This window comes from Homo sapiens, chromosome 1 (assembly GCF_000001405.40).
Source record: "Homo sapiens chromosome 1, GRCh38.p14 Primary Assembly".
Taxonomy (NCBI): Eukaryota; Metazoa; Chordata; class Mammalia; order Primates; family Hominidae; genus Homo; species Homo sapiens.
Window position 1 is genome coordinate 94,831,786 of NC_000001.11, and position 24,657 is coordinate 94,856,442.

Genomic DNA, 24,657 nt, shown 5'->3' on the forward strand with positions numbered 1-24,657 from the left:
CTTACCCAATGACTTCCTGCAAGTTTGAGTGGCTTTGCTAATGGGAAGAAGAAAAGCAGAAGTGGTGAAGAAACCTCAGGCCATGGCCTAAAGATGCATCCCTGTGAGCCGGGCATAGTGGCTCACATCTGTAATCCCAGCACTTTGGAAGGGCGAGGCGGGCAGATCACCTGAGGTCAGGACCAGCTTGGCCAACAATGGTGAAAGCCCGTCTCTACTAAAAATACAAAAATTAGCTGGGTGTGATGGCAGGCGCCTGTAATCCCAGCTACTTGGGGAGGCTGAGGCAGGAGAATAACTTGAACCTGGGAGGTGGAGGTTGCAGTGAGCCAAGACCACGCCATTGCACTCCAGCCTGGGTGACAAGAGCAAGACTCCATCTAAAAAAAAAGATGCATCCCTACCCCAGCTAATGAAATACTCTAAATCTCGAAAGGCGTAGCAGTTACATAGATGTGTATGTTTATCAAAGTCTCTAATTTTATGTTTAAGATCAGTGTATTTCATTGTATATAAATATTGCCTCAGTAAAAATAAGAGGAATTCCTTACATTCTGAAGTGTATTAAGTTAAAAAAAAAACAAATAATAGAACAGTGTGCAGTATACTTTTGCATAAAAAGTGGAAAATGTAAGTATAAACCTATAAATATATATATCTAGGTATATATTTGCTTGTATAACCATTATTACATCAAGCATGACTTACAGGATGTAGTCAGAAAGCAATTTAATTTTTGTCTTTCTCTGTCTCTTTAAATTTATTCAGTGGGACTAGTTTTTTCTGCCCCTGAATAAAAACACAGGCAATTCCCAAGGCTTCTCTGGTAACTTTTAGGTAATACATACTGAGTCACTTTAAGTTGCAACAGACACTTTCAATTCAATAATTAAAATGTTCAGCCCAGACCAGGCACAGTGGCTCATGCCTGCAATCCCAACATTTTGGGAGGCCAGGGCTGTAGGATTGCTTGAGGCCAGGAGTTCAAGACCAGCCTGGACAACATAACGAGACCATGTCTCTACAAAAATTTAAAAATTAGATTGGCATAGTGGAACATGCCTTTAGTCCTAGCTGAAGCTGAGATGGGAGGATCTCTTGAGCCCAGGGGTTTGAGGTTGTAGTGAGCTGTGATCATGCCACTGCACTCCAGCCTTGGTGACAGAGCAAGACCCTGTCTCAACTTTTTTTTTTTAAATTAAAAAATATTCAGCCCAATGTGATAAACTTCTCACTTGATCGGAGGTTCAAACTTCTGCCCCCTGCACGCTTGGCCCAGGAGCAAGTGGGAAGGCCATAGTCCAGGAAGGAGGCTGTAGTCAGCCTCCCTTCTCCTCTGTTTATTCCTGCCCTCCTCTCCCAGCTTGCTGAAACAGGTTTTGTCTAAGGGGCTGGTGCAGCAAAAGTGAAGGAAGAAAATAGTAGCAGGAACACATTTACTTGTCTGATACTAGCACCAGCATTCTCTGGGCTTGGGAGATGTCCCGGCCAGCTCTTTCCCTCATGGGCATGTTTTGGGTTCTTCGGGGCTCTTTCAGCTGCAGTGCCTTTCATGTAGTCTAATGCATCTGTGCTCTGGCTGGTCATGTGAGAGGCTTTCCTCAGTCCTGAGGCATTAATTAGCTACCTCAGAGAGCAGCCACCTCCAGCTCCTTCTGCCAAGGTCCCCACAGCCTTCTACAGGGCTGTCTTAGACACGATCGGTGGCACCCCATCACTGGGACTTGTGCACATGCAGCCCACAACTAGACCCCAGGAAGCCCTCTGCACCCTTTGCCCTGACAAATGCCCTGGGGGCTCTTAACTCCCCAGCTGTAGCTCTCTGCTCTGCTGTTAAAGCCGCTCACCCTCCAGATTTCTTGGGGTGGCTCAGACCTTAAGCCAGGGGATTCCCTAAGCTCTCTGAGTTTTCCATGAAACCCTTCTCATCTGACTTAGGAAAATGGGGATGGAGTCACATGACAAGTCTAGTAAAAAAAAAAAATTTCAACTCTTCAAAAATTACTCTTCTAATGATTCTCTGCACTTGTCATCACCTGTGCAGAGTAGATTTTACTATATGCAAATAAAAATTAAAATCAAGATGTCAGGATCTTAGGATAGTGTGTAGAGGGTGACAAATTAAATGACTAATAAGGAGCTGATGTGAGTAACTTTGGAAAACAGCTTTGTGACTAGATACTGTAAGCTAAAGACAAAAGGAACTGTATACAAACACTGTACTCCAGATAGTACATTTGTTTGTCACATAGCTACTGGTTAACAATTGTTTTTCTCATTTTTTAAAAATTCCCTAAACAATACAGTATAATGGTTAGCAATTCTGAAATTACATACTAGAATCGATTATAGGGCCTAGAATCAGTAATACCCCACCATACCCAATACCCAGATCATGGTTTCTAATCATTGGTCTTCAAGGGTTCTTTGGAGAAATGGCAGGTTCTAGGACTTGGATAAGGAAAATACCAGCTACGTCTGGTATCATCATCCTGTAGCATCAGAAAGTAAGGAAGTGCTCAAGAAAGAAAAAGAATGGGTCTTGTCAAAAGGACACAGATGACTCGTAGTGGCCAAAGCTGGAATAGATTGAATAACACAATTAAGATTATAACCCAAAGAAAAGAATAAATGTTGATGAGGCCATACTGATATGAATAAATAATTGAATAAATAAATAAATGGGGGGAAGGGATAAATCCTTTTTTTCTTTTTTTTTGAAACAGTCTTGCCCTGTTGCCCAGGCTGGAGTGTAGTGGCACGATCTCAGCTCACTGCAACCTGTGCCTCCCGGGTTCAAGCAATTCTCCTGCCTCAGCCTCCCGAGTAGCTGGGATTACAGGCACCCACCACGACACCTGGCTAGTTTTTGTATTTTTAATAGAGATGGGGTTTCACCACGTTGGCCAGGCTGGTCTCAAACTCCTGACCTCAAGTGATCCACTCGCCTCGGCCTCCCAAAGTGCTAGGATTACAGGCATGAGCCACTGCTCCCGGTGAAAGGGATAAATCTTTACTTCTTCCTCCAAGAGGTGGAATTTCCCTCCCTTTGAGAGTGGGCTAGGCTTAGTGACTCATTTCCAAGGATAGAGAGGGAAAAGAGAAAAATAACAACTTTACAAGGAGAAACCCGGCAGGTACCACCTTAACTAGGTGATCAAGGTCAACTTCACCAGTGTTGTCATGTTCCTCGATAGGATTCTATGAGAAAGGCACTTCACCTCTGTGGCACTGTCCCAAAAACCTGTTGACTGTAGCCTAATCATGAGAAAACATGAGAGAAATTCTACAAATTAAGGGACATTTTACAAAATACCTGACTATGAATCTTCAGAAATGTCAAGGTCACGAGAAACATGGAAAAACTAAGAAACTTGTCACAGGCCAGGCACAGTGGCTCACACCTGTAATCCCAACACTTTGAGAGGCAGAGGTGGGAGGATGGCTTGAGCTCAGGAGTTCAAGACCAGTTTGGGCAACATAGCAAGACTCTGTCTCTACAAAAAACATAAACTGTCATGACCAAAGAGGAGACGTGACAATAAAATGCCATGTGCTATCCTGAATTAGATCCTGGAATAGAAAAAGGATGTTACGGTGAAATCCAAATAAAGGCTGTAGTTTAGTTAGTAGTTTAGTGACAATGTTAAATCTTAATTTTCACAAATATACTGTGGTTATGTAAGACATTTACATTAGGGGAATGTGAGTGAAGGATACACAGAGGAACCCTCCACCATCGTTACAATTTTTTTGTAACTCTAAAATTATTCAGAAATTTAAAGTTTACTTTTAAAAATGCTCTGCTTATCAACTTCCAACTCTTTTATGCTCTCAGCATGGATGTGGGTTTAAGAATAATCTAACCACTTTTCTCCCACCTCTTTTTTGGCATGCCCTGAATGGTGGAGTCTGGCGTCTCATTTTGGAGTAGAATTTTTATTATCTTTGAGCTCAGCCGCAAATTCCATTTAAACTTCCTATGATATTTACATATGCTAATAAAAGTCTCTAGAATGGTTTGCAAGAAACCAAAAATCATGGGTGCCTGTGAGGAAATGTACTTCGGTAGCTCAAGGACAAGGAAAGGCAATTTCTTGCTGTTTGGTCTCTTGTACTTTTTGGAATTTAAGCCATGTGAATGTATTACCCCTTCAAAAATGTAATTACAAAAAACACCGTTTGTGTTACTCTTCTCTTGAACCACTATCCAGTGACTCAGGAACTGTTTCTGTAATATTGAGACTTCTGGAGAAAGATTCTTCCACGTGTTCTATGTTGTGCTTCATTAGAAGCTTGGGAAGTCATTTCTTTTCTTCAGGGCAATGAAATCTTTTAACATTTGGATTCTCCTTTGTTTCATTCTTATACATTGCACAAAATGATTGGTGATTGGGTTTTGAGCAGCTTTTTAGATAATTTGACACTTCTTTGGTTGGGATTATTTCCACCATTTGGGGTTCATGGAAAGAAAGAAGAACAGGACCCTGTGAAGGTATCAGTGGCCTCATGAAGATTCATTAGAATGCATATTGCTAGGCTTTTTTACATTTCAGGAAGAAGCTAAAAAAAGGTCAACTTTCTCATCTACCCAAGGCAGTTATCAACTGCAGCATCAATCACACATTTACTATCCATTTATTGAGCACCCACTGTTCATAGCAAGGCTCTCAAGCCTCATATGCCTTCCTAAACAGGACGGAATTAAGCTAATAGTGTCATTAACACAGCTTCTGTCTCATCCAGTTCACATCCCTAATAGTTCCTTACAGAAATACAATTCTTTTGTTGGGGTTGGTAGTTTGTGTCTAAGAAGGGCTAAGACAGGAGAATAAAAATTGTGGTTCCCACTGGGCACAGTGGCTCATGCCTGTAATCCCAATACTTTGAGACATCAAGGCAGGTGGATCGCTTGAGCTCATGTTGCCCAGCCTGGGCAACATGGTGAAACTCTGTCTCTACAAAAAATGCAAAAATTAGCTGGGCGTGGTGGCACATGCCTGTAGTCTCAGCTACTCAGGAGGCTGAGGTGGGAGAATAGCTTGAGCCCTGGAGGCAGAGGTTGCAGTGGCCCATGATCGAGCCACTGTACTCCAGCGTGGGTGACAAAGGCAGAACCTGTCTCAACAAAAAAAAAAAAAAAAAAAAAAAGAGGTTCCCCATAAATAAAATGTAGTATATGTACACATACCACAGAGTAGTATTTAGCCTTAAAAAAAGAAGAGATCCTGCTATTTGCAACAACGTGGATGAACCAGAGGATATTATGTTAAGTGAAATAAACCAGGCATGTAAGGGCAAATCCCATACATGACCCCACTTGTATGTGGAATCTAAAAAAGTCAAATTCATGGAAACAGAGAATAGAATTGTGGTTATCAGGGATGCAGGCAGGGGAAATGAGAGATGCTGGTCAAAGGATACAAGTTTCTGTTACGTAGGATGAATAAATTCTAGATATATAAAGTAAAGCATGGTGACTATAGTTCATAATACTGTATTGTATATTTGAAATTTGATACAACAGATCTTCAGTTTTCTCAAAATATGATAACTATGGGAATTTATGGATACATTCATTAGCTTAACTGTAGCAATCATTTCATGAAGTTTATATATATCAAAATATCACATTGTATACCTTAAATATGTGCAATTTTTATTTTTAAAAATGTTGCTCCCCAAGTTTAGGTTTTTGGTTTCTGTGGGTTCCCATAATCAACTTCCTATTCAGAACATCAGCTAATCGATGTAGCAGAGCATACTTGCCTGGCTTTCTAAGGTGTGCTCTGCAAATGGCATGCTAGACGCCTCTCTATTACTGTAGTTCTTAAGCTTTTTTGGTTATTGAGAATGTTAAATAAACATCTTTTAAAGATAAATGTTAAATAAACATTTTTGCCATCTTTTTTTCTCTATTTTTAGCAAGTCATTTCCCTTATTTAACCGATGTGTCCCTCAAACACCTGAGTGCTACTCCCTATTTGCATCTGTTTTGATAAATGATGTTGACACCCTCCACCGAATTCTAAGTGGAATCATGTCGGGAAGAGATACAATCCTTGGCCTGTGTATCCTCGCATTAGGTAATTCTCAGTTAAGTTAATTTTAATAGTTGTTTATGGAATGCCAAAGTTCCTAGCATTTTATATGTTGTACAATGAAAATTAGCCTCTTGTTTTAAATATAAAACTCTGTATTTTTAATAGATATTTTCAGTGTTTCAGATTTAAGTGGGATGGGGGCAATACGAATAGAGGAGCGGCTGGCCCTCTGGCAGAAAGCCTCAGTGGGTAGGGTTGCCTTGATATACTGACTATGTTCTAGTGTCTGCTCCTCACTGGGGATGGGTATATAAAGCAGATTGCCAATTTGTGGATGGGACATGAAAAATACAACTGTCAGGGTGACCAGAAACCATGTCTTCTGGCCAAACATGCCTCCACCTGTAGGTGGATCAGAAAGCAGATCAGAAAGCTGCTTGGTGAGCAGGGCAAGGACATGTATGCATCCATGTTAAATGGAGTCAGACTGCAAGGGCCTGCTGTATCCTGCTCCTCTAAGGGACATACCTGCTTTGGGTTGTAGACAGGTCAAGGCCTTCAGCCTTCTCTGGGCATTTCTGGAAGCAGCTACCCACTCTTGATCTTTTGAGTTCCCATTTTCTATGTTTCAGTTGGCTGAAATCAAGAGCCAACTTTCTCTTTGAACAGGTGAATACACTCTGCCCCTTTAGACAGTGGTAAGAGCCTATTGTCTCCTCGCTTTCCAGTGGCAGCCCACAAACCTCTTGGTAGAGAGAAACTCTTTGGTCAGACATTAACATATTTCTAACAGTTAACAAATTGAGTTTTCCACAATTTCATTACTAAAAGGTTCCTAATTCCTGAATGCTTGGGGATATTTAACTAGTCACTATTATGACTTTCAGACTTCTTACTTAGGCTGAAAATGACTTCAATTGACTCAAACAAGATGCTTTGACTCCCAAATACTGGCTTGGTTACAATATATAACAAAAAAACCTCAGGTTATTCCTGATATCTTATATAATGACCTAATGTCCCTGCAAGGACATTGTCATGTGCTTATTAGATTCATAATGGTATTAACAGCTGTCGTTTACTGAGCACTTACCATGTGCCAGGCATTGTACTTATTCTTCACTCATTAAAACCTCATCAGAATCCCAGTACCACTCATAGGAGATGAAACTGAGGCTTAGAGAGGTTTAGGACTTGGCCAGTGTTGCACACCTAGGAGAAGAGGTGGCAGAACTAAGACTCAAACCCAGATCTGTGTGGTCCCAAAACCCACCTTACTAAACATAACTCTGATCTAGATGCAATCCTGATTTCCTATGTCGAAAATAGTACATACAGCTTATTTCATGGTTAGGATCTTAAATTCTTCATTTTAAAGACATTATTAATCTTTCATATTTAATAAGAGTACCTTAGAACATGTAAAGTTAGAACTTTACATAAGCCCAGTATGAAGTCAAAAGATTTAAGTATGATAATTTTAGATGGTTCATTTGGACTTGTAAGAAAAAAAGATTTGGGCATTTGAGAATAATATTGCTATAAAATTTTTTTTCTTTCTTTCTTTTTTTTTATTGAGACAGAGTCTTGCTCTGTTGCCCAGGCTGGAGTACAGTGCCATGATCTTGGCTCACTGCCAACCTCTGCCACCCGGGTTCAAGCGATTCTTGTACCTCAGCCTCCCGAGTAGCTGGGATTACAGGTGCCCGCCACCATGCCTGGCTAATTTTTGTATTTTTAGTAGAGATGGGGTTTTGCCAGGTTGGCCAGGCTGTTCTCGAACTCCTGACCTCAGGTGATCCACCCGCCTCGGCCTCCCAAAGTGCTGGGATTATAGGTGTGAGGCACCATGCCCGGCCAAATTTTTTTTATTTTTGAGAAGAATACTAGGACTTTCAGAGACAGGCTTACCACACTTGATTGAATGGTGCATCAGAGACTGCCCCACGTATACCTTGTTATTTTTATTTAGTGTTTAGTAGATATCCCAAGATATTTAGAGATTGAATACAATCCTCAGCCGTCACTGTTCTGGAGGGTTTTGTCATCGCAGTACTACCATCATCTCCCCTATCCTTTGTTGCTATTGAGGTTTATGTGTTTTGCTTAATTTTTCAGCCTTGTCTTTGGCCATGATGTTTACCTTCAGATTCATCACCACCCTTCTGGTTCACATTTTCATTTCATTGGTTATTTTGGGATTGTTGTGTAAGTATTTCTCTACTTGACTGATTTCTTTTCGATTAAATGAAAAGCCTTTACATTAAGTACAGAACTTAAAAGTTGGCATTTTTAAGCTACATGGAGTCTTAAAGAGTATCTAGCCCTGTCACTTTACAAATGAGAAAACTTGGCCTCAGGGAGGACGATGGGAGTTGCTATGTCTCACAGACAGTGCAAAGTTAATGACCAATCTTTTTTTTCTTCTTTCTTTTCTTTTCTTTTTCTTTTTCCTTTTTTTTTTTTTTTTTTTTTTTTGAGGCAGGCTCTCACTTTGTTGCCCAGGCTGGAGTGCAATGGCGCGAACGCAGCTCACTATAGCCTCAACCTCCTGGGCTCAAGCGATCCCCCTGTCTCAGCCCCCCAGGTAGCTGGAATTACAGGCACATGCCACTACACCCAGCTAATTTTTGTATTTTTTGTAGAGACGGGGTTTTGCCATGTTGCCCAGTCTGGTCTCCAACTCCTGAGCTCAAGCGATCCGCCCACCTTGGCCTCCCAAAGTGCTGGGATTACAGGTATGAGTCACCACGTCCAGCCATATCTGTAGTTTCTTCTGCTGTGCTATGCTGCCCCTGAGATGAGCTTTCCAATACCGTGATCCTGTATCCATAACGTTAAAAGAGAATCCCAGTACCCACTGGGAGCATTTTAAAGGATTTCTTCTGAATGCGCACCTCACCCATTGGCACGTGGGTGCCCACAGTTGTCATGTAAAGGTTCTGACCAGCCAGAAGACACACAGGCCTGCATGGAAGCAGAGTCCTGGAGACCCTGTACTGTGCCCATATTTCCCTCCCGGTTGCTGGATTGTGGATCTCACCAGCAGTTGTTGGGAAAGAGGTCCGAGGGACAAGGGCACGCAGGAGGCTCAAGGCAGCAGCCATTTACCAACTGGTGTGGGGTACAATCAGGTGTCACTTAATGACAGGAAGGGATGTGTTCTGAGAAATGCATCACTCAGCAATTTCCTCATTGTGTGAACATCACAGGGTGCACTTACACAAACCTAGATGGTAGAGCCTACTACACACCCAGGCACATGGTATAACCTATTACTCCTAGGCTACGAACCTGCACAGCATGCTACTGTACAGAATACGGTTGGCAGCTGTAACAGAATGGTCAGTATTTGTGTATCTAAACACATCTAAGCACAGAAAAGTACAGTATTATTAATCTCATGAACCACCATCATATATGCAGTCCATTGTTGATCAAAATGTCATCATGCAGTGGATGACTATATTTTAATTTTTAAAAACTGATGTGATTGTCATGTTTCTTTCCCCTGAGTCATCAGCTCTGCCCTCAGCAACTTAGAGCCCTGTAGCCCTGTGTCGGAGGACAGGCACAATGACTTCTGAGGGTTGTTTCTTCCTGTCCACTCCAACCTTCCTATAGTTACTGTGGATATGGCATAAGGTGGTATTTCGTACCTAAATGTGGAGTACTTGCAATGTCAGGGCATCTTCCAAATGAGCTTCTGACTTCCATGATTCCCACAGGCCGTGTAAATTTTCCTGGTTTTGTGGGTGAGCAGCCAATATCCAGGCTCCACAGGAGTTATCACCACCAGAGCTTGCTTAAAACATTTAGACAGTGAGCTCTGGCATTGTCCCTCTCACCATCCTGTCCATGGGGTTTTCCTCCTGCTCGCATCCAGACCCAACCTGTGGGTTAGGTGCCTGTGTTCTGGGGTCACCATCCTGGGTCTCCCAAAACAAGCATCATCCCAGAACTTGTGGGTCCTCTATGGGTTGCCCTGGCTCTGCCCAGCTTCTCCAGAGGGCAGCAGTTGCTTGTAGGGTCCGGGTATTTGGGACCCACTGCCAGAGCAGTGCCACGCGGCCGGTGGGCAGTGGCTGGACTTCCTGTGTGATTCTGTGTGCTGGGGAAAGGTTACCTCATGGCGTGTGCCCTGAGCTCTGCTACTGTTCTCTTTTCTAGTTGTCTGCGGTGTTTTATGGTGGCTGTATTATGACTATACCAACGACCTCAGCATAGAATTGGACACAGAAAGGGAAAATATGAAGTGCGTGCTGGGGTTTGCTATCGTATCCACAGGCATCACGGTAAGAAATGCTCTTCTAGCAGTAGGTCAGGTAGCCAGCCAGGACTCTGAAATCCAAATCATTGAATTCTAGCCAAAAACAACTATAATTTGTTTTTCTTTTGATTTAGAATGTGCCTTCTTTGGATTTGAGATACCTGTATAGGGATAATTCAAAACTCTTCAAAAATAAGAAAAAAAGGTTTTAGTTCTTCCCAAGTCATTTCTGCCACCTCCCAGAGACTACTGTGTTATCCTTGCTGTTGCACTGTTCTCAGCCCCAAGGGGCTACAAGGTGGGCATGGTGGGTGGGCGGAGGCAGGCTTACGGCAGTTCCCATTCCCTGTTTGTGAGGTGCGGCTCCCCTTTGCCAGTGTATGCTCAGCTTCCGCTGCCCTCTAGCACACAGAGCCCTTTGTTTCCAAACCCGCTGGCCACTGGGTTATTTTGGTGTTCAGAGAACTTGCTGCCTCCTCAGTGAACTCTCTAGCTGAAAACAGGCTGACTTAGAATATTGAGGGAGCAGGTATTAGTTACTGGTGGTGGGTGGTTGGCAACCAAATGTCATTCAGGACCCTCTCCAGGGGCCGTTAGGAAGGCTCAAATCACAAGGCCCTGGGGCGGACCCCACACTGGCTTCAGGTCCCCCAGAGTCGTCGTTGCTGGTGTGTTGCTTACTGACTGTTCTGTGGAGCAGCTGCAGCCAGGGGTTTCCACAAGCCCATTGAATCTTGCAGCAAATGCAGATTCTCACACCAACAAAATTCTCTCATAGGAAATCCTTCTATTCTCATATTTGGTAGTTTTCACATTTTCTCCTTTCCACGGTGAGGTTTTGGGTTTGTGATCTTCACATAAAATGTGCCAGGGAGTAAGGGTACAATAAAGTAAAGCACCTGGTTGCTCTCGCCTCAGGCAGGGACCAGACCAGACACTCAACAGAGTCTGCAGAGGAGGCTGGAGATGAAAGGGCTTCCCCATTCCCCAGGCTGGGCATAGGGGAAGAGGAGCAGGGCTGGGGGCTGGGGAGGGTCCAGTTCCTCCGTCTACCCTCCACAGGGCTCCCTTTTTGTTTGTACACTGCACCATTTATGCCACCCAGATTTCAGGGCCGGGGCAAGGTTAGGGAGAGGGGAGGCCATGTGAGCAGGGAGGCTGTTTTCACCTGGGTCCATGAGTTCTGCACAGGGGCTACTCTATAAGGCAGAATTGAGTCCCAGCTCACCTCCCGTTCATTTGTTGTGAGTTCTTACCAATTCCCGGTTGCTAGATGAGCTAGTTCACTCATCCTCAGAAAAGCCCAGATGGAAGTTCCTCCTCAGCCTTTACAACTGAAGGGTCTCCTCTGGGTGTCTTGCGGGGCCTCTCCTGACACCTCTCCCTGCATGGTCAGGAGGCTGTGCTCCCAGATCCTGGAGCAGCTTCTGCAGTTTATCCACTGTCACTGTCTTTCCTCCACTTGACTGTTGACGGCAGAAACGCTCCAGCAAAGCTGGAAGAGAAAGAGCATCTCAGGCCAAGGGCACAGCATGCATGAGGTCACATGGGCAGGGGTGTGACTTGCAGGAAGTTCCCTTGATGGAAGCCTGAGATGCAGGTGCAGGGAGGGTCATGTCACAAAGGTCCTGATCTGCAATGATGATAGGTTTGATCTTTCTCCAGAGGCACTGGGGTGCCGTAGATGGATTTTGAGCCGAGAAACACCATCTTTGTGTTTGCGCTTTACAAAGGTCCCCTTAGCTGTGGAGTGGAGGAGGGACTGAGGTGGGGCGGGGTGGGGGGGGTGGTCAGGGAGGTTAAATGCAGAAAGCTAATGAGGTTATTGGGGTCTAGAAGAAAGAGGCTGAGACTTGAGCTGTGGCATCAGCGGTGGAAACAGAGAGGAAAGGAAGGCATGAGCGGTATTGAGGAAACTGAACCAGAGGTGATTGAGACTGTACTGGGCACTTTGCCAGTCCTTGACCATAAGAATGGCCCTGCTCTCTAGGAGCCTAATCTAATGGGAAATTCAGACGAGAAAACATTTATAGAATATGTTAAATAGTACAATAGGGTAAGTGTGGAATAAAATGGGAGCACACAAGAGGGGAACCTAACTTACTCTTGGAAAGTCTAGAAAAATTAGGGCCACTGGAGGTAAAGAATACAGGGGGAAGAGGAGGTTCTAGTATGAAGATAATGAATTTGATTCAGGATAAATTGAGTCTGACATACTGTAGGACATCCACGGCCTTGTCAATAACTGATGTGCTTATTCTTCCAGCACCTAGAGGAAAGTGAGGCTGGAGGTTTTTATTTGGAGGTTGTCAGCATCTAGGAAGGATGCTGAAAGCACAGAGGAATAGGAGATACCCCCAGAAGATCTCAAGAAGCAGCAATTAAAGAAGTAGGAGAGCTAAAAGAAAGATCATGGAAGCCAAGGGAGGAAAATGTTTCGAGAAAAGAGGAGTGGACAAGGGATCTAATGCTATGCTGAAGTCAAGCAAGACCTGGAATGTTTCCATGGCATTTAACATTCAGGAGGTCACATGAAGTGACTTCAGAGAGAGCTGTTTCAAAAGAGTGTTGGGATCTGGATGTTTGTGGGTGGTTGAAGAATGAGTTGGGGTATGGAAATACAGATGATGGGTGTAGACAAGCCAAGAAGCTCGGCCATGAAAACAGTAAGAGACGGCAGTGGCTGGATGGGGATGGAGGGGTGCAGAATGGTTTGTTTCATTAATATGAGATTTGTAAATGTTTATATGCAGGGAGGGAAAGCTAGAAGAAGGCACAGAAGGTGGCTTTGAGTCTTTTTGCCTCATACTCATATTCCCTTGACTTTTGCAATATCTTGGGTTCTGTGGGATGTGGAGGGGAGGATATAAGACAGTTCCTTGACATTAGAAGACCTTATTCTCATTTTATCTTTTTCACTGACCAGACTACAAGGCCCTTTATGGAGGGACTGTGTCTTCTTCGCTATTATGTCTATTAAGATCTATTCCAGGGACCAGCACTTACTAGATGCTCAGTTAGTGTTTGCGAATGCATCTGTAAAATTATAACAAAGTAGTGAGTAACTATCTTAAAAGAGCTGTTTGCTGAGATGTCATAATAATAGTAGGGCTTGCTTTAAGCTCTACCCAGTTCTCCATTATTTGGAAGTAATTTACTCAAATCCCTTTCTCACCAGGCAGTGCTGCTCGTCTTGATTTTTGTTCTCAGAAAGAGAATAAAATTGACAGTTGAGCTTTTCCAAATCACAAATAAAGCCATCAGCAGTGCTCCCTTCCTGCTGTTCCAGCCACTGTGGACATTTGCCATCCTCATTTTCTTCTGGGTCCTCTGGGTGGCTGTGCTGCTGAGCCTGGGAACTGCAGGTAAGGGACAGTGGGTGTGGGTTCCATCACCTTGGAGTCATACACAGAAGACCATTTTGGAACCACTGGCCTGTTTCTGTAGGCACCTAACCCCTCATTGAGCCAGAGGTGTCTGATGACAGCAGCGTTGGTGCTTGGGGCTCTGTCATGGGGAAAAGTGGGAAGTTCTTTTACCTCTTCTATATTGGTTTTAAAGAAGCTGGGTTTGTGTTTCATGAGAGAATAAATTCAGTAAGGACTGAAAGCTCTAGGAAAAACTACAATATGAACAAAGGCCAACAGCAAGAATATTACCAGATGTCTCCAGGTATGAGTTTTATCCAAGGTAATTTGCCAACCCCTATCAAATCAGTAGGTGACAAAGAAGAACCCAGGAAAGACTCTATTAAAAATATATTGTGCAGCCGGGTGCTATGGCTCATGCCTGTAATCCCAGCACTTTGGTAGGCCAAGGCAGGTAGACCACGAGGTCAGGAGTTTGAGACCAGCCTGACCAACATGGTGAAACCCCGTCTGTACTAAAAATACAAAAATTAGCTGGGCGTGGTGGCGTGCACCTGTAATCCCAGCTGCTGGGGAGGCTGAGGCAGGATAATTGCTTGAACCTGGGAGGTGGAGGTTGCAGTGAGCCGAGATTGCGCCACTGCACTCCAGCCTGGGTGACAGAGCAAGACTCTGTCTCAAAAAAAAAAAAAAAAAGTGTTATGCCCAGCAGAGCCAGTGTACATTTAAAGCAAACTCATAGTTCACATGCCTTGGTCCTGAAAAGACAAGATTCTCTCCTCCATCCTTTTTTCATATCCACACAGTGGTTCTTCACCAGGGCTATTTCTCAGAATCAGCTTTGGTGCTTTATTAAAATACAGTTATCTGGGTGCCAGCCTCAGAGATTGATTCACGTGGTTTGCGGTGGGACCTAGTATATGTTCTTGTAAAGCTCCGTAACAGGGCAAGCATATTCTAAAGCAGCACTATTCAGAGTGCAGTCTGAAGCCAGATAAGGAGCTTAGCTAGAATGGACGTCATTCCATTGCTTCCTTCATTGAGAAAGTTTTGCTATGGAAGAAACTGTCAGCTGAGAAACGATGTGCTTAGTGATGCAGTTGATCTACATTCTGGCACAAGCTTTTTATCTTACTAACAATGTGAGGTTAGACAGCTTTTCTGTGGACCACACTTTGAGTGGCACTGTCCAGATCTTTTCTAACTCCTCTGTTTGATTTTCTTAAGGCCCAAATTCAGTACACATGGATGCAAGTACAAAAGAGTAAGTGGCTTCCTGATACTGTCACCAGACTGATAAGGACCACAGCTGATGTCAAATCAGCAAGGCTGATGCAGTTCCTTAATGTTTTCTCAAGTTTATCTTGTCCCTTACTGGCTCCAGTCATATAAGTAAGAACAGCTGCCATGTAATAGATTCTTAGTAAACTCAGTCCCCTTCCTTCTCCTCTGGAGCTAACTGAGGCCACAGTGCCAAGATCGTCAGCAGGCTGCCTGGAAGGCATGGCCCTTGGAGGCCTATGTTTCCACCTTCAGAGGTGCATAGGGGCAGTCTTCTACTAGGGGCTCCCTGGAAGCTCGCTGAAGGCCTGCAGTGAACTTCTGATAATTACCCAGGGAGGAACATTGGTCAAAAGGGTATAATCCATCAGAATGAGGTTTGTCTGGAAGTGAAAGAAAACTCAAAACAACAGTGGCTAAAGTAGGATGTAAGGTAATTTCTCTGTCACACAGATGAAGTCCACATGGAGAGGATCCATGCCAGCCTAGTTCTCTAGCGCTCAAGGACTCAGGCACCCGCTTTCTTCTTCTGCAGCCTCTGCCCTTGCTTCCACCTCATAGTGAAAGGCTGCTCAGGCTCCCACTGCCATGTCTTATTCCGACCTTGAGGAGGGTGGCAGGGAGGAAAGCGAGCATGCCCCTCCCAGAAGTCACAGGTGGCGCTTCCACCCACACCTCATCAGCCAGGTCCCAGTTACATAGCAGTGCTTATCTGCAAGGGACACCAGGAAATGTAGTTTCATTTTGGGCAGGCACGCACCAATCAGAGGTTCTATAACCAAGAAAAGAGGGGAGAATAGATATCGTGAGACAGGTGAAGTCTCAGCATTGGATGGCCTTCCTCTAGCGAGCTTGAAGTGGGCTCAGCCCTGGTCAGAAGGGAGGGCAGTGGCCCCGGTGCATGAAGGGAAACAAGCCTTTGTTGAAAATGTCCTAGATTCTAATCTCTGTACTGGATGCTTTCTTATGTTCTGTCCCCCAGGCATCACAGTCCCCGTGTGATGTGGGTATTGTTATGTTCAAGTTACAGGCAGGAAAATTGAGATTCTGAGGAAGTCATGTGCCGGAGGTCATACAGCTGGGAGGCATGACGTGCTGTGACTCTAGAGCTTTGGAATGGAGCCTGTGCTCTTTCCACTACCTTACACCTCCCTTGCATCTGGGATCCAAAGCTAGGAAATAAAAATAGGCCTCTTTAGGCCGGGTGCAGTGGCTCACGCCTGTAATCCCAGCACTTTGGGAGGCCAAGGCGGGCGGATCATGAGGTCATGAGATCGAGACCATCCTGGCTAACACGGTGAAACCCCGTCTCTACTAAAAATACAGAAAACTTAGCCGGGCGTGGTGGCGGGCGCCTATAGTCCCAGCTACTCGGGAGGCTGAGGCAGGAGAATAGCATGAACCCGGGAGGCGGAGGGTGCAGTGAGCTGAGACCACACCACTGCACTCCAGCATGGGCCACAGAGTGAGACTCTGTCTCAAAAAAAAAAAAAAATAGGCCTCTTCAAGTTTGCTCAGAATGAAGCTGTATCAGGGACCACAGCAGTTGGCTGGTGGATGTGGGCTGTGCCCATAATGTGTCTGGGGCTGGAGGTTGACAGCTAGAGCCAGCTGGGGATGAGGTGTGATGGAGGTGGTGGCAGTGGCCCTGGGCAGCAGCACTGTAGGGCTTGAACCCTAGCCTCTAGAGAATCATCAGAGAAACAGTGAGGTCTTAGGAAATATGGCTCAGGACCAGTGAAGGACCCTCCTCTTCCCACCTCCTTAGGTGCAGCTGGCCCAGCCAGGGGGCCCCTTGTTGGCTGTGAATCTGGATAAGGGGAACTGTGTCTGTGGCTAGACCCCATGATGTTTTGGAGCAGGGATGGTTTTAATTTAATTCAGAAGTATTTGGTGGGCACTGTGGGGATGAGGCGCTGAGCACGGCACTAGGGAGAGGTAGGGAACAGGATTGAGGTCGACTCTCTGCCCTCAGTACTTATAGTCAAGCAGGATGGTCCAACAATGAAACGTGTGATCGCAGTGAAGATTGATGGATGTGATGATCAGAGAAATCTGGGGAGCTATGGGAACACCAGAACAAGGCCGTAACCCATGCTGTGAGTCAGGGAGGGCTTCTTAGAGGGCAGGCTGGAAATCGCCAGGTCAGAAAATACAGAAAGAGGCAAAGGGGGATGCAGCAGAAGTCAAGGCAGCACAAGGAGAGGACCTGGCCACAGAGGTCAAGGGAAGAGCCCAGGCCAGTGAAGTCAGAAAGGAGCAAGCCCCAAGGCTGACTTGGGCATGAACTGCCAGCCTGTGCCCCTTAACTGCCAGCCTGTGCCCCTGACTAGGTCTAGGTTGGGCCCAGGGCTTAGTAGCCTCCACTGCAAGAGAGACCTGGAGGTTATTCTTCAGGGCTGAAGGTAGCGTGTCATTCTGCAGCCACCTCTCAGGATCACACAGTGAAGTGTGACGATTCACTGTTAGTGCAAGCAGCAAACAGCGAGAACAGTAGAGGGGCCAGAAAGGAAACTGGGTGCCCCGGACCTATGGGAGGCATCTATGAGCAGGTCGATTTTAGGCTTCTCAGGAGAGAAGGTGCTACGCAGAGCCACCACCCCCCTTCCCCACCCCGCTGGGGTCAGGCATCATAGAAACCAAATCACCCGTCCCCTCCTTCCACCTGCCTGTGGCCGACCCAGGTGCACAGGGTCCCCTTTGTTCTCAGAGGCCTTTTCACCAGTGCCAGAGAGCCTGGCTCTGCGGCTGGGCAGATCAGCAGCTGAATCACTTTTTGATCTTCAGAAGATGCCCCAGCTAACACTTGAGAGGGACTCTGAGCCGCTTTCACCTCTTATGAAGAGGCGCCAGGTGATCGGGTGGCGAGCCCGCTGCACAGTGCCCGATTGTCTCATTCCACGTCCCACAGGCAGCTTCAGCGGGGACAGACACACTCTTCAGTTAGCGCCCAGTTTTGTGTGTGGGCGTCCTCAGTACATAAATAGTTGTTTGTTTGTTTTTGTGTTTTGTTTTTTGTTGGTTTTTGTTTGTTTGTTTTTCTTGAGACAGGGCCTCAATCTGTTGCTCAGACTCAAGTGTAGCATCAACCTCCCGGGCTCAAGCGATCCTCCCATCTCAGCCTCCCCAGTAGCTGGGGCTGCACATGCCACTATGCCTAGCTAATTTTTGTATTTTTTTGTAGAGACAGGATTTTGCCGTGTTGCCCAGGTTGGTCTAGAAATCCTGGGCTCAAGCAATCCACCTGCTTTGGCCTCCCAAGGTTTTGGGATTATAGGCGTGAGCCACCCAAATAGTTGTGTCAGATGGTTGAATGAATACTATTTTTTACTGCATTAAAAAAAATAGGAGTGAACTTGGGTTGATCATTTTTGCCCAGATGGGCTATTTTTCTAATGACTGTTAATCATTCTTTTGACTAGTTGACAAATTCTGACTTGTTTGGGGATTTTTTTTCAGCAGGTCATATCAAGCCCCCATCTTGCACCACCCAACAATGACATTTAGTAGTCCATTGGGATTTGTCTGGTACCAGCAATAAGACAGTAATTACTAAAATCCAATAGGAAAAAGTGAAAACTGTGGTAACCTTGGTAATCTGGTAGGTTGGAAAGAGCTCAGATGACCTGGTCACCTCCAGTGTTCATTAAGGTGGTCTGGAAGCTCCAGAGTCTGTACAATAGAAGAGAACCATATTGGATTTTGGCAGGGAGTGGACTTCCCGCGAGGTCTGTGCTGCAGTTAGAAGATTTAATCACAGGACTGCACACAGCATACACCGTGTACTTGGGATACACAAAGGGGTGAGCTTGGAAAGGAGGCAGCAGGGTCAGACAGAGAGTTTTCCATAGGTTTCCCATCAAATGACCTGGAACCCAGGCTGGCTCTGCCTCTGCTTCCTTTTTGCCATTTTTGCAATGGAAAACTGATGTAAGGTTGCCTCACAAGGATGTTAGGAGGCTGAGATGAGACAAGAGCTTTGCTTTGCAAATAAGGGACCATATGTATTTTTTATGTTAGGAATTAATGTTGACCAAGGAACATCTAGTACCTTCAGCTCTGTAGTTTATTCTTTGCTTTCTCTGGCACATTCAATAACACAATTTAGAAGAAAATTGTCTTTTTTTTAAGTTTTCAGAGATCTAGAAGATAATTGAAGTTATTTTGCAAAAGCCTGCTAGTGGCCCAGTCTTGTTCTAGGAAAAGAGTAAAGGGAGGTTGCACGGGAGAGAGTTGAAACAGCTCCTGCATTTCAGAAGTTCCTGGTCCCTTTGGGAAGGTGCAAAGGAAAGCAGTCTCCATGCACATCCCCATACCTTTGCTCCTGCTGGGATCTTCCTCTAGAATCCCCTCCCCTGCCCAACTCTCACCCCAACTCTCCCCCTAAACTGCTTCCCCAAACTAGTCATTCTTCAAGATTGGTTTGAGTATTATTATTCTTGGAAAATCTCCTATAAATTTCTCAGCCATACTTAGATATTTCTCCTCCATTTTTTTCCTTGCATATTTTATATTCTTCATTCTTTCAACAACTATTTATCTCATGCCTGCCCTGTCAGCCCTGGAGTCACACTACATGCCCTGGGTACTTGAGATACAGCAGTGAACAAGACAGCAGTTCTGCTCTCCAGGCCTGACATTCTACTGGGTGGGCATAGAGGCAGTGAATAAGGAAATATGCATCCCTTAGTGATAAATGCTATGAACAATAAAGCAAGATGTATTGTCATCCCACAAGAGGAAGAACACGTGAGGGCCAGGACCATGCCTTTTTCTTTCTGTGTCTCTTAGCTCAGTTCCCTACCTGAATGGATTCAGTTAGGGGTGCTGACCCAGGGAATAACATCACATCAGTGTCATGGTTGTGAAATGAGATGGATACATGAAGAACTCATATATTGCAGGCTGCCTGTCAATGAGATTTTCCTCTCTTTTTTCCTAATCCTCATGCTGCCAGAGCCGAAGCTGAAGCCAGTGGGAGACACAGGCAGGATGAATGTCAGCAGGCTGGGGCTGGCAGGACTCTTGGGCCAGTTTGCTGGACAAGGCCAAGTGCACAGAATGTGCTGGAAAGTAGAACCCCTCCAAATTAGGCCTGCTTCCCTTGGGGAATTATCCTGACCAGCTGGACTGCCTTCCATAAGGAACTGCCATCTATAACAATCATTATATCACCTTAGTCTTTTGAAATGCTTTAAAGCTTGCTAATAATATCCAGACTTACAGCTAACTGCACTATGAATATCTTTCAGATTATTTTGATGCTCTCAAGGAAGATCTCTAGAAAATTGTCTCCAAATCTCTTTAATAGAATATATTACTTGAGGAAGATATATCCATTCATTCATTCAATCAACAAATATTTATTGAATATTTACTGTGTGTCAGACCCTATTAAAAATGCTGGAGATACAGCTTTTCTTCCAATTTGGAGGGTAGAAGGAGACAGGCTTTAAATAAAGTAAGTCAGTCAATGTTATAGTACTTTAAAAGTTGATAAGTGGCATGGAGAAAAATTAAGCAGAAAGGACAAATAGGAAATGCATGAGGGGGCAGGGTGTCATTTTAAATTTGACGATCAGGGGTGCCTCACTGAGAAGGTGATGATGCAGAAAGATTTGAAGTAGGTGAGTGCAGAGCCATAAGACCATCTAAAGCAAGGGGAAACATCCCAGGCACAGAGGCTGGCAAGAGGCTGGAGTTCTAGGGCACAGCAAGGGAAGCCTATTCAGCGAGAGTGGAGTGGGCGAGGGAGAGCTTGGTTCAGAGGGGAGTCAGGGTGCACACAGTCAGATCCTGGGGCCTTTCTGGCCTTTGTAGGAACTTTGGCTTCTAACCTGAATTGGGAAGAAGTCTTTACAGGATTTTAAGCAGAATAAAATCTTGACCTGACTACATTTTAATAGCAGTGATTCAGTAAGAAGAGGATGGTGGCTTGGAATAGGTCATAATGTTGGAAGTGGCATGACATATTAGATTCTGCATCTATTTTGAAGGTAGAGCAAATTGGATTTTCTGGTTACATGAAAGAAAGAGGAGTTGGAGAAGACTCTGAGGGATTTTGGCCTGAGCAACTGGAAGATAACTTTGCCATAAACTGATATATGGGGCAAGAATTTGAGTATAGCATTTTAGGGGTAGATCAGAAATTAATTTTTAGTTGCTTTAATTGAAATGTCTTTTAGACCACCAGATGGAGATGTCAAGTAGGCAGTTAGCTATCTGAGTCTGAAGTTAGTGGAGGAGGTCCTGGCTGGGATTCACATTTAGGAACTTGGGAACATATTAATAGTATTTAAAACCATGAGATTAGAATGAATGTAGATAGAGAAGGGAAGAAATCCAAGGACTGTGCTTTGAGGCACTTCAGGATGCCCGGGAGATGAGGGAGAACAAACAGAGAAGACTGAAAGGGAGTGACCAGTGGGTCGAAGGAGAAGGGGTGGAGTGTGGGGCCCTGGAATGCAGGTGAAGGGTTTCACAGAGATGTGCGCGGTCCAGTGTGGCAAGTGCTGCCGCTAAAGGAAGAACTGAGGATTGACCACTGAATAATCATGATTGGAGTAGGTGAAGAGAAAGTGGGAGGAAAAGAATTGGAAAGAGTAAGTATAGACAATCTTGAGGAATTTCACTGTTAAAAGGAACAGAAATGGAGAGGAAGCTGGAAGAGGAAAGAGTCCACAGTAGATTTTTCTTAAAGATGGGAGATAGTTGCGAATGATTCAATAGAGAGAAAGATTTTGATGAAGAGGGTGAAAATTATTGAAGAGTTATGTTCACACAGGTTAGAAAGAATGGGATCTGGTGAAGTGTGGCCATAGGATCATGGGCCATTTATTAATATCATGTTCTGGGAGAGGACTCAGATTATGGACCCGTGTTGATAGCAGGTTAGGTGTGAGGTGGTCAGCACTAGCAGAGGTTTTCTGATTGCATCAGTTTTCTCAGTGAAACAGGAGGTAAGATCATGGGCTGAGAGTGAGGATGGGAAGGAAGCTCTTGAAGGTTGAAGGGGGAATTTATAAAACAGTTGGGCAGAAGAAGGGGAAACAAATGGACCAATATGGGAGCATGTAAGTTTCTGATAGTAACTCAGATGGTATCCTCTCTCTGATTTTTTTTTTTTTTGCCTCATTTATTGTTCCGCCTAATAGCTGAGGTCCAGCATAATACCAGCATGGAGTAGATGCTCAATAAATGTTTAAGTTAATTTCAGAATTGGAATTCTATCTACCTATATCTCATTTATAGCTAACCCTGTGTGGCACTCACTGTAGCTGACCCTATTGCACTTACTATTCTAAGAGCCTTACCTGTTTATTATACTTAACTCATAACAGCTATGTGTATTGCACTAAAAGCCACAAGACAGGACGAGATCACCAAGGGTGTGAGAAGTAGGTATTACCATTCTCCGATTTCAAGTGATGAAGCAGATTTCAAAAAAAGTCCCACTATTTGCAGGAGGTTGCTTAGGGGACAGTGCAGAGATGTGACTCTCAGCCTGTGTGACTCTCAAGCCCAAGCCAGTAATCACTGTCCCAAGTTCATCTTGCCTACTCTCTTCTTCACCATCAGAGAGCTGTGGCCCACATTGTTTGTCACACATTTCAAAGCTGAGCCTGGAACCAAGCCTTCTCACAATTCAGTGCTCTTCCCACCACCATCCCCTGAGATCTGTCATATCTTGGGATCTACCCATAGTCTACCTCCCATTAACACCCATTAGCTACCCATGATAGTAGCTGTAGTGCCCAGTCCATAGAGACAAAGCAACTGTCATGTGATGAGGGGATCTTGCCTGCATTCACACAGCCATCCAGGAGAGGGCAGTCATGTGTGCCTAAGCACGTCTACCCCACCCACAGGCTCTGCAACCGCAGACTCCGAGCTAGATCCAACCTGTTTCCCGGCTTTCGCCCTGAAGCCAGAGCGCCCCTGAACGTTTGTCTAAACCAATGGTTCTCAAGCCCCCCGCGCCCCCCGGTGACTTTTTGCCCCTGATATGGCATTTGGCAATGTGTGGACACATTTTTGGGTTGTCGTGGCTGTGGGAGGGGAGGGAGAGCTTCCTGGCATCTGTGTAGAGAGGCGAGGCTTGTTGCTAACACCCTCCAGTGCGCAGGACAGCCCCAGCCCCAGCCCCAGCCCCAGCGAAGATCTGGTCCACAATGTCGGTGAGAAACCCTGCCCTAAAGGAAAGTCCTAAACAGCCCCAGGAACAAATAGAAGATGGCTTTGATAAGGATGTTCAGAAACAATAGTGATCACTCAAAAATAACTTGCAGGTTCTGCTTCTTTGGGGAGTGCCAAATGCCATTCTTTGGGGGAATGCCAAATAATGTCTAAGCGGATCTTGACTCATCACTTCAGCTGCTCCCACCGCTGACTGTGCCAGGTTGGGAGGTGTGCGTATATGTGCACTTGACAGCACAGGGCAGCTGAGAGGAGAGTCTGGCCCCCATTAGCGTCCAGGTCCTGTAGGACATACTTACCTTTGTCTGTCTGAAGAAATCATCCTTCCTGTTCTGTGGAAATATTCTCCGCCCGCAAACTATTCGTGATATTGTAAACCTAGTTTTGCAAAAGCATAATCTGTCGCTGATACTGCTGGGCCTTGTAGGAGGAGCAGGTACTTCTTCCCTGGCTCAGAGCACTTCTCATATTCCAGAGTGGTTCTCAGAGTCCACTGACCTCATCTACCTAACAGGCATTCTGTTTGGGAGGGGCCACCTCCTCTGGAATTGGGAATGTTTCCTGAAGCATGCCCTGAATCACCCCATCTTAGAAAACCATAGGCATTTATCCATGCCTTACCCAAAACAGAGATTGCCTCCAAGCCAAAGTGAGCCCAGCATTCATAAAACATTAACCTCTCTATAAATCAAGCTGTTCCACTGTTTCTTACAATGTAATTCTTGTTCAGCAGAACATAGAGCTTGGGAATTAAGATCAGCCTTAGTCAGTGGAATCAGTTTTTGATCTACAGCACGGATATCCTCCCCTTTCCTTCACACAGACCCTACTGTGAATATCTAAGGACTCCTGAATGACGAGCCTAAAGTCAATTTATAGCTATGGCAGGAAATATGAAACAATCTCTAAATGTTCTTCAAGCTATAGGTTTCACCAAAGACCAGAGCATGCATCTTCTTCCCAGTAGTAGTTGTTTTAAAATCCATAGTGGGAAAAGATCTAGAAATCATATGCAGCCACAAAGCTGGGATTTGGATTTACCAGTGAATTTACCAGTGGATTTACCAGCAGAGTAAATTTGGATTTACCAGTGGATTTACCAGCAGAGCTAATTCAAGGACTTCTTTAGAGGAGAGAAAAGAAAGCAGGGTATAGCCACGTGAATGGCAAAAAGTTGTTACGGTGACCTTGCTGGCCTCAGTTGAAAGTAGTACTGTGCTCCTGAAATTTAATGATAGTAATAAACCATTATCACTTATGGCGCGATATGTCTATGGGTTGGGCACTATACCAAGTACTTTCCAAGTACTCTCACTCCGTGCTCAAAATACCACCAGGAAATAGGTATTCTAGATAAGGAATCTAAAACTCCTCCAGGTATTCCAGATAAGGAATCTAAAACTCCAGGAAGCCAAATAACTTGTCCAGGGTTACCCACAAAGGGGTAAAGCTGGGATCTGAACCTGGGAAGGTTAACACTGAGGCCCAGTAGATATTT

The 24,657-nt window shown here is 44.9% G+C and overlaps 1 protein-coding gene across 26 annotated transcripts in view, besides 1 other annotated feature; it reads left to right on the forward strand.

Moving 5' to 3' along the window:
- SLC44A3 (solute carrier family 44 member 3) overlaps window positions 1-24,657 on the forward strand; it is a 74,891-nt gene that overhangs the window by 11,429 nt on the left and 38,805 nt on the right. For all 26 annotated transcript variants that reach the window (NR_146575.2, XR_946543.3, XM_005270442.3 and 23 more), the window contains 4 exons: window positions 5,926-6,086; window positions 8,163-8,252; window positions 10,215-10,339; window positions 13,493-13,679. Coding sequence is in view for 24 of the 26 variants with exons in the window: in XM_005270442.3 (XP_005270499.1) it covers window positions 5,926-6,086; window positions 8,163-8,252; window positions 10,215-10,339; window positions 13,493-13,679 (563 nt within the window). In the remaining 2 variants the exon portion in view is untranslated. The remainder of the gene's footprint in view (window positions 1-5,925; window positions 6,087-8,162; window positions 8,253-10,214; window positions 10,340-13,492; window positions 13,680-24,657) is intronic.
- Window positions 4,703-5,902: an enhancer, noted in NCBI's record as "BRD4-independent group 4 enhancer chr1:95302044-95303243 (GRCh37/hg19 assembly coordinates)". NCBI's record gives its function as "activates an origin of replication core promoter dependent on BRD2, P300/CBP, MED14 and CDK7 cofactors, and independent of BRD4, by STARR-seq in HCT116 cells {active_cell/tissue: HCT116}" and the evidence as "EXISTENCE:reporter gene assay evidence [ECO:0000049][PMID:35650434]".